Genomic DNA, 14,191 nt, shown 5'->3' with positions numbered 1-14,191 from the left:
TCTCAGTGTGGATTTAATTTGCATTTCCTGTATTCTGGGAATGCTAAGCATTTTTTATATGCTAAATTTTATATGTCTGTATTTCCTTTTCTGTGAACTCTGTTCATATCCTTTGCATAGTTTTCTATTGGGTTTTTGATGTTTTTCTCAGAATTTGTAGGACCTATGAAGCTATATTAAGGAAATCAGCCCTTTGTGACATGTGGCATTATTTCCTGCAGTTTTTCTATTGTCTTATGGCCTTTTGGCCTGAAGACTATTAAAATTCTCATGTTTCTTGATCGCTTTAGTGGTTTTATTTTATGCATTTTTTTTTTTTTTTTTTTTTTTTGAGATGGAGTCTCTTTCTGTCGCCCAGGCGGGAGTGCTGTGGCGCGATCTCCGCTCACTGCAAGCTCCGCCTTCCGGGTTCACGCCATTCTCCTGCCTCAGCCTCCCGAGTAGCTGGGACTACAGGCGCCCGCCACTGCGCCCGGCTAATTTTTTGTATTTTTAGTAGAGACGGGGTTTCACCGTGGTCTCGATCTCCTGACCTCGTGATCCGCCCGCCTCGGCCTCCCAAAGTGCTGGGATTACAGGCGTGAGCCACCGCGCCCGGCCTATTTTACGCATTTTTATCTTTGATCCATTTGTAATTTTTCCTGATGTAAGGAGTGAGATATGGATCTGACTTTATTGTTTTCTGGATGGTTACCAAACATCCACCTTTCTGCACTGATTTGAGATACCACTGTCATAATAAACAAAATCCCTATTTTGGACTATATCTGGGCTTTCTACTTGGTTTTACTGATCAGTCCTCATAGAGGACTACTACACTGTTTTAAGTACAGAGGCTGTCTCTAGTGTGGCTAGCCTCCCTCATTATTCTTTTTCAGAAATATTCTGAATGTATTAATATATATTTTTTGTCCATATAAGCTTCAGAATCACCTTGTCTCATTTTAAAAAATCTTCCTGTTGGTTGGTTGCATTAAATGTACAGATTAATTTGGGAAAAAAATTTTCAGGCATTACAAATCAATGAGGTTTGGGGATCCATTTGTTCTAGAACCCATATATTGATATTCATATAGAAAAAAATTAAAATTAAATTCATGGCTCTTGGAAAAATAACCATAGGTATATTAAACACCTAATGAGAAAAGCAAACATTTTTGTATTCTTCAGGAGCATTTTAGAGTTTTCTTTGTACAACTTTTGCACATTTATTTTTAAGTTTATCTTAAAGTATTTCATCTTTTGTGTTGGTGTCATAAATGAGTGTATCTTGTTTTTACTTATGAAGCTTTTTATTTCTGTGAATTAATTTTGTAACTGATAATTTTGGTGAATTCTCATGTTTTATGTAGTAGGTTTTCAGTTGATTCTCTTGGGCTTCCAGTATACAATCAGCAGCCAACAGTGATGATTTCAGCTCCTCTTTTATAATTTTAATATAGTACTTTTAATTTTTGCCTCTCACTTAGTTGAATTGGCTAGTGTCTCCAGAACAGTATGAAATGCCAGTGATGATAGTTAGTGGGCATTATTTCTTTTTTCCCATTTTTTTTTTGTTTGTATGTTTGTTTTTTGACAGTCTTGCTCTGTTGCCCAAACTGGAGGGCAGTGGCGCAATCTCAGCTCACTGCAGCCTCTGCCTCCCGGGTTCAAGCAATTCTCGTGCCTCAGTCACCCAAGAAGCTGGGATTACAGGCATTTTCAGTAGAGGCAGAGTTTTGCTATGTTGGCCAGGTTGGTCTCGAACTCCTGGCCTCAAGTGATCTGCCTGCCTCGGTCTCCCAAAGTGCTGGGATTACAGGCATGAGCCACTGCGTCCGGCCCTTTTTCAGATTTTATTTGGAATGATTTCCACATATAGCACGATGCTGGATTTGAGACTAAAGTGAGTAAGTGCTATTGTGTTAAGGAAGTACACACGCATTCCTATTTTATTGAGAATTTTTAAAAATTGATACTAGAAGTTGAAATTTGTCAAATGGCTTTTCAACATCTCTAGGGATGTTCGTGTGGTTTTTCTCCTTAGCGCTGCTATATATGTTGGTGCAAAAGTAACTGTGGTTTTAATAGAAAAAAACACAATTACTTTTGCACAAACCTAATAATATGATAAATTATGTTAATAAAATCCCAAATACTGAATTATTCTTACATTCATCATGCAATTCTTCTTGGTCATGGTATATCATTCGTTTGTGCCATGGGATTTATTTCTTAACATTTTATTTAGAATTTTTACATTGATAAGACTGGTCAGTAGTTTTCTCTTTTGTGCACAGTTCTGGCGGTGCTGTTGATTATTGATATTAAGCTCATTTTTTACATACAAACTGAAAAGTTTTTCTTCTTTTCATGTCATGTGCTGTGGCATAGTTTCATCTCTATACCATTTTTTTCTTTAAGGTTCGGTACATTGTAATGTGTGACTATAGTACTGTTTAAATGTGGGAGCTTTTGGCCGGGCGTGGTGGCTCATGCCTGTAATCCCAGCACTTTGGGAGGCCGAGGCGGGCGGATCGCAAGGTGAGGAGATCGAGACCATCCTGGCTAACACGGTGAAACCCCGTCTCTACTAAAAATACAAAAAATTAGCTGGGCGTGGTGACGGGCGCCTGTAGTCCCAGCTACTCGGGAGGCTGAGGCAGGAGAATGGCGTGAACCCAGGAGGCAGAGCTTGCAGTGAGCCGAGATGGCGCCACTGCACTCCAGCCCGGGCAACAGCGCGAGACCCCGTCTCAAAAAAAAAAAAAAAAATGTGGTAGCTTTTGGCTGGGTGCAGTGGCTCACGCCTGTAATCCCAGCACTTTGGTAGGCTGAGGCGGGCAGATCTCAAGGTCAAGAGATCGAGACCATCCTGGCCAACATGATGAAACCCTGCCTCTACTAAAAATACAAAAATTAGCTGGGCATGGTGGCAGGCGCCTGTAGTCAGGAGTTACTCAGGAGTTTGAATTTACTCAGGAGGCTGAGGCAAGAGAATCGCTTGAATCCTGGAGGTGGAGCTTGCAGTGAGCCGAGATGGCGCCACCGCACTCCAGCCTGGCGACAGAGTGGGACTCCGTCTCAAAAAAAAAAAAAAAGTGGTAGCTTTTTAAAAACCCAATCAATTTTTCTACTCAACAGGTCCATTAAGATTCCTAACTCTTCTGCATTCAATTTTGATAAATTTTATGTCTTACTAGTTTATTATCCATTTCATTCGAGTTTCCAAATTTATTGTATAGAATCAAGTAAATTCCTTAATTTTTACTGGATCCTTGATAATTTTCTCCTTGTGACTTATTATTTTTGATTGATTTTCACCATTATTTAGTGATTAGGTTAATTAGCAGTTTATCTATTATTTTTCCCTAAGCAACCAGATTTTGAATTTACTAGTCATATTATATTCTTACTTTAATAATTTATTATTTTATGTTTTGTCTTTATTAATTTATTTCTTCTACTTGATTTGGGCTTATTTTATAGTTTTTAATCCTAATTTCTTGAGTTGAATATGCTTATTTTTATTGCTATTGCTTGTTGATATAAGTAATAAGACTATAAATTTATTTTTCTGAGTACTGCTTGAACTGCATAGCAGAGGTGCTAATATGTGATGTTTCCTTATTACTTTCTAGATATTCTTCGCTTTTATTTGAATTTCTTTGAGCTATATGAAAGAGAATTTAAAAGGCCGGGCATGGTGGCTCACGCCTGTAATCCCAGCATTTTGGGAGGCTGAGGTGGGCATATCACTTGAGGTCAGGATTTCGAGACCAGCATGGCCAACACGGTGAAACCTTGTCTCCACAAAAAATACAAAAATTAGCCAGGCATGGTGGCATGTGCCTGTAATTCCAGCTACTGGGGAGGCTGAGGCAGGAGAAAAGGAGAACGGCTTGAACCTGGGAGGTGGAGGTTGCAGTGAGCCGAGATCATGCCATTGCACTCTAGCCTGGGTGACGAAGCGAGACTCCATCTCAAAAAAATAAAAGAAAGAAAGAGAAAGAAAATTTAAAAATCTTTAGGTGATAGGAGCTTTTTTAGTTTTCAGTTTGCTATTAATTTCTGGTTTTATTGCTTTGTAGTCAGGAAATCTTGCTTGTACCCTTTCTACTTTGTTTCTATAAAGCTATCACTACATATGCAACTTTATATGCATATTATATATACTTGTTTGTGTGTATTATATACATATACACAATACATTCAACTTTACTTTTTCATCTTTGTCTTTTACATCTTGTGTCCTCTGTGGTATGTAACAGTACCCTTGTACATTGTAGGAATATAGTAAAAGCTAGATTTTATTATTTCGAATGGCTGCAAGAGATTCTTTGGTTAAAACAATTTGACCAGGGAATAAGGCTTATATCTGGGTGAATATCTGGAATGAGAAGGAGAAGACTCTACTTAATGTAGTACGTTTACCTTGAGGGTCAGACCATGCTATTTGGGTTCTGCAATTCTCAAGCACAATGTAAATAATACCAGCACTTTATAAGTGTAAGCTTCTATGGGTTTGACAAGATTCTGAGATGTATTTTCCCTCTTCATGAGCATAAGCACACTCAGTAAAGCTAAATCATTTTACAATATCAAACAAACGAATCTAAACAATGCAACATTCAAGATTCTTTGAAAGCAATTTACAGCTTTATTGGCATCTCCCAAAGAATGTTAATAGGAATCTAATTTATAACATAACTTCAGATTTACTATCATGTTCTCCCTTTTACCACTTCTTTTTATCTTCCCATACCCCTACTGCAACTAATATGGTTCCTTTTGCTTTTCTTTTCAGACTCCCCCATATCTGTTCTTTCTTTCTACTTCCCATGAACTCTGGTGTCCTTCCCCACGCCCTGCTTGCCCAGCTGTGTTCCTCCCTGTCACCTTGTTGCTCTTCTTCCAAAGTACAATCCGGTCAGTCTGTCTTAGTGTTCTTCCTATTCTACAGTGATTTTTAATCTATTATTCTGGTCAATATAACAAAAATAAGCAGTAGGGTACAAGGTTTTCAAATAGAGAATTTTTCTTAGAAAAATCAGTAACAGTATTCTAAAGTACATTATAAATGCATGTCCCAATTACAATTTATTTTATAGGTGTGACTTCTAAATCTATAAGGGAGATAAGATTTTGTGTACTTGTAAAGACAATCTAATTCTTCATATTAATAATATAGCAGGTCACTTATTTATGGTAAGTCAATATAGCTTTGATTTTCATCCCTGAGTTGTAGGTTTGTCTTTCTAAGAAGGAATAGACTTATTCAATAAATGATTTTTTTTGCAGTCTAAAGAAGGTGCATTTATTGTCAGAGATTCAAGACATTTAGGATCCTACACAATTTCCGTATTTATGGGAGCTAGAAGGTAAGCACTTGTGATTTTGGTTACTATAGAAATAATCCCTGGCACAGTCTCCATCACATAGAGAATGTTAGTGAGAGCTTAGCTTAGGGAAAAGATTGTTGACCTGGAAGTTAGAAAAACCAACCAGTCCGTGATATATCCCTAGCATGCTCTGTGTGACATTGCATAAGTTTCTTAACCTCTCCCGTCTTCCTTTTCTCAACCATAAAGTAAAGAGGGGGAGATTAGTTGTAGTAGACGCTGTTGGGCGCTTTCCTCATATCCCTTGGTCTGTTCTGGGATTCACTTGCAGAAAAGTCTCTTGCACTCAGAAAGCTTCCTGTGTCTGTCTGCCTGAGGATGTTCTCTGGCTGTGGGAACTTGTGCGCCCCGTGGCTAAGCTGAAAGTGCCTGAGAGGTAACATCCCAGGAGCAATGCTAGGTTAAAGAGAATGGGAGTTGGTGGATAAATATCTCAGCTTCTTTGCACTTCAGTGGGACAATTGTGAGGTGTGTTCCCCAGTCTCTCCTAGGTTCCTACAAGTATTGAGCCCCAATTGCCCATAGTAGTAACCTACTAACTAATGCACCTGGCATTGGTTTTTCCTCCCTTCTTGTCTCCCATCTCCAATTGCTTACAGTGCATGTGTTCATTCATTTAACCAATACTTGATATTCAATATGTACTTACATGTATTCATTATGAGATCTACTTTTCTGAACACTGGTCTTGTCACTCAGACAACTTTGGCTGAAGTTATGTTTGAATCTAAGGCCCCAATAATGTAGTTGAGGAATTTTCTTGGCATGGGGGGGCACTTGTTGAATTTAGCCAATCTACTTCTCAGTGTAGTGTTGCTAGGATGAGTTTTAGAACTGGAGTCCTGTTGTTTAATGAGTTGGCTTAGATCCAAATTGATCTTTCACATTTCTAGTAATTCACATTTTCTTGATTGTAGAAGTACGGAGGCTGCCATAAAACATTATCAGATAAAAAAGAATGACTCAGGACAGTGGTATGTGGCTGAAAGACACGCCTTTCAATCAATCCCTGAGTTAATCTGGTATCACCAGCACAATGCAGCCGGTAAGAGGGGAACTTCCAGCTGGGTGAGTCAGGGAGCCATGCCCTTGATGGGCAATGCATCTTTGGTATCAGGCACTCAACAGGAGCAAATCTCCCTATAGAAATAGTTTAAAAGCTTGAAGTACAACTTATCTTTTGAGCAATTATCTTTCTTATTGATGCCTCTTCATTTTTCTGGTTGGTTGGGGGCAAGAGGTAGGTCAATTTCTTATATTTCTACCAGGTTAGAAAAATGATAGATGACAGAGAAGCAAATAGTCATCAATCATTATGCATTTGTTCTGGAAATTTACATAGGGCTAAATGTAATAAGATTTCAAATACCCTAAATAATGATGCTTCTTTCCCTTTGCCCCCATAAATCTGCTCTCTACTTTTGACGATTGTAATAGAAAATCACCCTTATATCTCTCACTCTCTGTTCTTTCTTGTTTGGAGAATATAAAAAGTCACAGAGAACACAGCCTTTCACAGTTACAATTTAGCCTAACTATACCAGAGGCATATTTAACCCATCTCCCCAGACATTGTTTGCAATAATTGCTCTTTGTGCAAACCTATCATCTGTGGAAAGATGTAGGATCCCAGAAAGTTCCACCACAATTAAAATCACCTCTCTGGCCTTCAGCCCTTGCCCAACCTGTGCTGAACCACTCTGAGCCCATGGGGAATCTTCTTATCTCAGCATTGCAGAATTCAGAATCCACGGTAACTTTTCATGTCATTTTGACTGCTTGTCATGCATGCACTTCTTTTTTAGATTTCTCTCATGAAAAGTGTTGACAAATATTCCTTTTGGAAAGAGCTCACTTTTCCATTACACTGGTTCTAAGTATCAGGAATATATCAAAGGACATTTTTATCCACTTGTGGGATGCATCCACATGGCTATTCACTGGAATTTTGGTTAAGGAGTGAGGGTAAAATATCTGGGTGGGGCAATAAAGGTCTTAGTTGTAGCTAGAGATAGAGTCAAGATGTCAGTTCTGAGTTTTCTCCTTTATATTCCTCTTTCTCCTTCCTCCAAAGAAAAAAGAAAGAGTGGTTTTGGTGATAAGGTTAAATGAGGTTAGATGAGGGCTTTAACCTGAACTAGGTGTTAGAGTCACGGTGAGCATCCATTCCTGTTCCCTGTTCAAACTTTTACCATTCTCAAGACTCCTTTACCAAAATTAACCACTGCCTTATTAGCAAATCCCCTGTCTGTGTACCTCACTAGGAAAAGTGAAGTCACCAGGCATGAGCGACCTCCGTCTCCTCTTCTGTCCCCATGCCCTCTCATCCTCATTCCCTCCAGTAGTAGTGAGGGCATGCCTGTGCTCTTGCCCTTACCTGCCATCCACTGTTCCTTTCTCTCCTGTATCTCTTCCATTCTTCTGACTGTCTCCCTTTAGCTTTTAACCCTATAAACATGCTTAAGACTTTCTTATCCTAAAAACAAAAACAACTCTCCTCCTGCTGCCCTAACTCTTTCTCCCTTTACACATTGCTCTTGTAAGTCACACTTTTGGAAAAATGTGTCCACATCCATTGTCTCCACTCTCTCACTTTCCATTTACTTTTTAAACATCTATGATCTGTCTTCTGCTTTCAACACTCCATATTTGACCAGTGGCCCCTATATTGACAGTACAGTGGTGCTTTCTAGTTCTCATGTGTTCAGGTCCTCTCTGCTACATTTGGCAGTGTCACTTGTTGCTCCTTCGATGTTTGACACCACCCCTTTTTGGCCTTCTCTAACTCAATAGTTCCTAATGGATCTTCCCAATGTGCCCTACTTCTATTCTTCCCTTAAATATTGGTTTTCCTCCAGAATCCGTCCCTGATCACTACTCTTCTCACCTTAGGCATCTCCCTTTGCATAATCTTCTGTCTGGTAGACAAAGGCACTTGCAATCCCGCAGGCCCTGAACTTCACTGATGAAGTAGGATGCTTCATCTTACACCATTACTCTCCCTCCAAATGTCCTCTTTCTTTTCTCTCTCTCAGATAATACTAGCATCATCCAGCCCCTTGTAGGGGTTGGAAGCATAGGAATTAAATAGATGCTTCTTAATAGCTCACTTCTGATTAATTATCAAATGCAATTGATTTCATATCCTAAATGTGTCTCCTATAGATCCCTGCCTCTCCCTACCTTCTAGTGCTGCCCTGATCATTGCTCACTTGGACAACTGCAGTAGCCTCTTAACTGGTCTTATTGCCTCCAATGTTGATTTCCCCTTAATCCATTCTGCTAGTACCAGAGTGATCTATCAGAAATGTAAATCTGGCTGGGTGCAGTGGCTCATGCCTGTAATTACAACACTTTGGGAGGCCAAGGTGGGTGGATCACCTGAGGTCAGGAGTTTAAGACCAGCCTGGCCAACATGGTGAAACCCCATCTCTACTAAAAATACAAAATTATCCAGTCATGGTGGCGCATGCCTGTAATCTCACCTACTCGAGAGGCTGAGGCAGGAGAATCGCTTGAACCTGAGAGGCGGAGGTTGCAGTGATCCAAGATCACACCATTGCACTCCAGCCTGGGCAACAAGAGTGAAACTCCATCTCAAAAAAAAAAAAGAAAAGAAAAAGAAATGTAAATCTGACTGTGCCCTCCTACTTGGGACTTTTCAATAGCTTCCTCTCACCTGCAGGAAAATGTAATGCTTCCTAGCGTGGCTTATGAGTCCCATCATACCCAGAATACTGCTTACCTCTGCAGTGCAATTTGTCTGGCTCTACCTCCTGAGTTTTGCTCAAGTACCCACCATCATGCTTCACATTTCTAAGTTTCATCTCATGCGTTACCTCTGCTTAGAAAGTCCTTCATAGTTTCTCCCCATGGGTTAACTCCATGTGTTAGTTTCATCTCAGTCATTTCCTCCCAAAGAATTCTTCGAGTCCAACAATGTGTCAAGTGCTCTTTTTCTACATCCCAAGGCACCCTATATGCATCTCCAGCAGAATACTTATTCCTTTCACATTAGAATGGCCTCTCTCTGCCTGTCTTCTCTCACTGAGATAGAGCTCCCTGTGGGCAGAGTCCTCATCTTACTCATCTTGGAATCTGCTGGAATCTTTGGGAATCTACCTAGAAGAGTGCCTTGCACACAATAGGCACTTAATATGTGCTTCTTTTTGTTCTTACACTGGTCAAGCTCGTTTCTGTCTTCCAGCATTTACACATGCTGTTCCATCTACCTGGAAGGCTCTTCATCAATCAACGTCAGCGTAGCTGTCATCTTGTCTGAAAGGCCTTCCCTGAGCACCCACTCTAAAGTAATTATATGTTATCCGGTCTGCCTTGCACTTAATCATCATTATCTACTTTTTCTTGTGTGTGCATGCCCTTGTTATTTTCTCTTCCTCTCACTAGAATGTAATCATGAGAGCAAGACCGAATCATCAGTCTTGTTCCCTACTGTCTCCCAACATCTAGATAGTGTTTTATTGAAAGCTTTTATTGAAAGCGCATACCAGGCTTTTAATAAATATTAGCTGAACAAATAAATAATAAATGATTATTAAACTAAGTTGAAACGTAAGGTATATGCCTAAGTGGGTCACTGAAAGGAAAAAAAGAGACATTTGATGTATAGAAATCTATATGTTAACCCAATTAAATGAAGTCTCATTTACTCTACCATGCTATTAAAAATCAAATAAACAAAGATTATACAAAATGGGCACACTTCAACACCGTTGGTGGTTGAATAAATTAGTACATCCTTTCTGGACACGCTTTGACCTGGAAATCACATTTTATAAGGTGATAATTTGAGAAGTACAGACAAATGTATGTTCAAGGACATATGGCATATTTTATAATAGCGAAATCTTGGAAATAAATTTAAGCTCTGTTTATAGTCAATGACATATATCAATTACGTGCATAGTGCAAAAAGCTTTTAACAAAATATTTATATTTCTGCAAAATATATTGGATGTGTTCATGTTTTCAATTATGCACATAGTGATTTTTGCAAAAATATTCACCAAGATGATAACAATCTATCTGTGAATACTAAGATTTTGTGAGGGATTTTTTAGGGTCATCTTTATACTTCCTTAGATTCTTTAAATTGTATACAATGAGTATATATTTTTTTTTGGAAAATGTGGGAAAATAAGCAAACTGCTGACTAACTGGTAGAATGAATTTTGTTTGTCTAATTATTTAAAGAATGGTACTGTCTTCTAGAATATTTCATTCTTTCTTCTATATTAGCAACTAGGCTTGAAATATTGATTTCTCTTTCTCCTTAGGTCTCATGACTCGTCTCCGATATCCAGTTGGGCTGATGGGCAGTTGTTTACCAGCCACAGCTGGGTTTAGCTACGGTAAAGTGTGCACACATGCTGAAGTAAAATAGCAAATCCAGTAGTAAAGAATCTACCTGGCTGGGTGCGGTGGCTCACAGCTGTAATCCTAGCACTTTGGGAGGCAAAGGTGGGTGGATCACCTTAGGTCAGGCGTTCAAGACCACCCTGGCCAAAATGGTGATACCCCGTCTCTACTAAAAATACAAAAAATTAGCCGGGTTTGGTGGTGGATGCCTGTAATCCCAGCTACTTGGGAGGCTGAGGCAGGAGAATCGCTTGAACCCAGGAGGCAGAGGTTACAGTGAGCTGAGGTCATGCCACTGCACTCCAGCCTGGGCAGCAGAGTGAGACTCTGTCTCAAAAAAAAAGGAAAAAAAAAAAAGAATCTAGTTCCCTATTGATTCTTTGAACTCTCAGCACTTCCGAAATGTCTATCTAGAAACATTTCTTCTCAAAGTTTACATCACCCTTCTGAGATGTTTAAATATGTGCATCTCATAAGGACAATTTAAACTTTGGGGAGAAATGCTTCCGTTTGACTTCAGATTTCACTGTTACATTACCAGGAGCCTTAATCTTCACCCTTTTGATAAATTACAATTCTTTTTATTTGGATGTTTGGGTTGTTGTTCTTTGGTTTCAAGGGTGCCTGGGAAATGATTCCTCTCCAAGAGAAGCTACTAAAAAGAGCTGCTGAAAGTATCGTCTTCATCTTTTTTTTTGTTTCTAATAGAACATGCACAAAGTTCAATTTGAACCACTTTCTAGCAAATGTGGTATTTGTAAATCTGTGAGAATACGTAAGTGCCAGGGAATCCTATTTTCTAATTTGGTGACATTTTATTCCTTTAAACTTCTCTCAATAGTGGGATTCAGAATGTACTGAAAAAATTAATAACACAATATATTGGGAAAAAAGTAACTGGGACTCAGGATCTCATTAAGTTAAGTGGGATGGAAGCAAGATTTCTGGCTATTATTGGTGCCTGTATTATTCCTCTGGCCCACAGATAGTATATATAATACAAAGTTCTACCATTAACAATTTACTTAAGTTAAACATGATTCTTTTTAATTTCTTAAAAATAAACTTAAAAAATTTAAAAACAAATAGAATAGTGTACAACTCATAAGTCTATAGATTGATTTGTTTTGCCTGGTTTGATTACGTTATATAAACAGAATCGGACGCTGCAGTTTTTTGTGTCTGGCTTCCTCCTCACCTCATTACATCTGTGAGTTTCATCCATGGTCCTGGGTGGGGTTGGTTTATTTTCACTGTGGTGCAGTGCTACACTGCATGACATACCACAACTGATTTAGCCATGCTTCTTGTAGATGGCCATTCGGGTTGTTACCAATTTTTGGCTCTTACAAATAATATTGTTAAGAACATTTTTGTGTGTGTTTTGATGAAGTTAAGTGCACATTTACATTCCAGCATATGTTGGATATGTGCTTAAGTGTACACCTGCTGGGTCATAGGCTATGCATATGTTTAGATGTAGTAGATACAGTCAGTTTTCTAAAGAGCTTATACCAAATTACACTCCCATCAACAATATGTAAGTTCTAGCGGCTCCATACCTTTGCCCTTGCCAATATTTTATTCTAGGTTTTTTTTTACATGTTAGCCAATCTGGTGTGTCGTAGTATCTCATTATGGTCTAAATTTACATTTCCCTGATGACTAATTATTTTTATCAATTTGGCTTAGTGGCCATTTGGATATTCTCTTCATAAGAGAATACTCCATTCACATTTTTTACCCTTAAAAAAGTTAGGGTATATGTCTTCTCTAGTTGATTTATTTATATTCAGAATAAGAATTCTATGTTGGTTGTATATTTTAGAAATATCTTCTGTGGCTTAACTTTTTACTTTCTTAATGGGGGTATTTTTGATGAACAGAAGTTTTATGAAGTATAATTTATCAATATTTTTCTTTGTGGTTATATTCTGTTGAATAAATTTATGCCAATTCCAAGGCCATGAATATATCCTCCCATGTTACTTTTAAAACATACCTATGAGGCCGGGTGTGGTGGCTCATGCCTATAATCCCAGCACTTTGGGAGACTGAGGTGGGCAGATCGCCTGAGCTCAGGAGTTTGAGACCAGGCTAGGCAACATGGTGAAACCTTGTCTCTACTGAAAATACAAAAAATTATCAAGGCGTGATGGCGTGCCTGTAATCCCAGCTACTTGGGAGGCTGAGGCAGGAAAATCACTTGAACCTAAGAGGTGGAGCTTGTAGTCAGCTGAGATCGTGCCACTGCACTCCAGCCTGGGTGAGAGAGTGAGACCCTTCCTCCAAAAAAAAAAATAATAATAATAATAAAATAAAACATACCTTCTATAGGGAGGGGGAATACTTTGCATAGCTGGTAGAAGGGACTATCAGATTTTACAATTCTTTTAAATGCATTATTCAAAAGTTCCAGCAGATGGTGGTATTGCTGTATTAAAAGGAGACACTAAACCATTAAGTTTGGTACAGTTTTCAAGAGGGTTATTTTAAAAACAGTTTATTTTTTCCTGATTTGCTTCTATAAAATGAGAAATATACAGTAAAAATTTCACTTCAGCTATACTCTTAGATATATGTGGGTTAGATTTCTAACACTGAATTTGTTTATTAGATGATTTCATTGGACTTTTCCCTAAGAAGAAAAAGTATCAAGGGAGAAAAGCCCTTTAGGAATGGAGTGAGAAGACCAACAGGAAGAACTGAAATCACAGTTTTATTTGCCTTACAAGTTTACTCACCAGGAAAAAAAAACCAGACTGGGAACATAAATATTTTGGGTCCCAGGTCTAGTTTTGGTAGGTTTAGTTTAGAAAGGCACAGAAGTGTGTTCGCTGTTGTCTTTGGGAGCAGAGAGTGCATTTTGTTATCCTTAATTTGTTATACAAACATCACCAAATAAATAAAGTTTGTGTTTTGAAACTTGAGTCCTTGAATTACGTTTAAGCCACAGTGAGAGTATTAAAATGGCTTCATATCCTCTCCACTTTATACATTTTTTAACCTCTCTGTCAAATAATAGATACTTCCTAAACATTTTCCAGCCCTAATATTTTAACAGTCTTTCTTTCTACTTGTAACATGGATGTTTTACTTTTTCAGAAAAGTGGGAGATAGATCCATCTGAGTTGGCTTTTATAAAGGAGATTGGAAGCGGTCAGTTTGGAGTGGTCCATTTAGGTGAATGGCGGTCACATATCCAGGTAGCTATCAAGGCCATCAATGAAGGCTCCATGTCTGAAGAGGATTTCATTGAAGAGGCCAAAGTGATGATGTACGTATAAACAACACCCTGATAAATATCATACCATGCCCTGGTGTCATGGAAACAACATGAGCTTTGGAGGCAGCCACACCTGGATTTGTGTCACAACTTTGCTCAAGCTCATTGTGTAACCCAGGCACATTATTTGACCACTGTGTGACCT

General features: G+C 38.7%; 1 protein-coding gene across 9 annotated transcripts in view, besides 1 other annotated feature; it reads left to right on the top strand.

Moving 5' to 3' along the window:
* TXK (TXK tyrosine kinase) overlaps positions 1–14,191 on the top strand; it is a 67,858-nt gene that overhangs the window by 33,748 nt on the left and 19,919 nt on the right. For 6 of the 9 annotated variants that reach the window (XM_017008581.3, NM_003328.3, XM_011513747.4 and 3 more), the window contains 4 exons: positions 5,281–5,360; positions 6,299–6,426; positions 10,679–10,753; positions 13,866–14,037. In XM_017008581.3, coding sequence (XP_016864070.1) covers positions 5,281–5,360; positions 6,299–6,426; positions 10,679–10,753; positions 13,866–14,037 — 455 coding nt within the window. Of the gene's footprint in view, positions 1–5,278; positions 5,361–6,298; positions 6,427–10,678; positions 10,863–13,377; positions 13,686–13,865; positions 14,038–14,191 lie in introns of those variants that run through there. The other 3 variants (XR_007057955.1, XM_047416125.1, XM_011513748.4) reach the window with 3 other exon arrangements.
* Positions 5,528–6,727: an enhancer, noted in NCBI's record as "P300/CBP strongly-dependent group 1 enhancer chr4:48095793-48096992 (GRCh37/hg19 assembly coordinates)". NCBI's record gives its function as "activates an origin of replication core promoter dependent on BRD2, BRD4, P300/CBP, MED14 and CDK7 cofactors, with strong dependence on P300/CBP, by STARR-seq in HCT116 cells {active_cell/tissue: HCT116}" and the evidence as "EXISTENCE:reporter gene assay evidence [ECO:0000049][PMID:35650434]".

This window comes from Homo sapiens, chromosome 4, assembly GCF_000001405.40.
Source record: "Homo sapiens chromosome 4, GRCh38.p14 Primary Assembly".
Taxonomy (NCBI): domain Eukaryota; kingdom Metazoa; phylum Chordata; class Mammalia; order Primates; family Hominidae; genus Homo; species Homo sapiens.
This window is presented reverse-complemented; position numbering and strand designations above follow the sequence as displayed.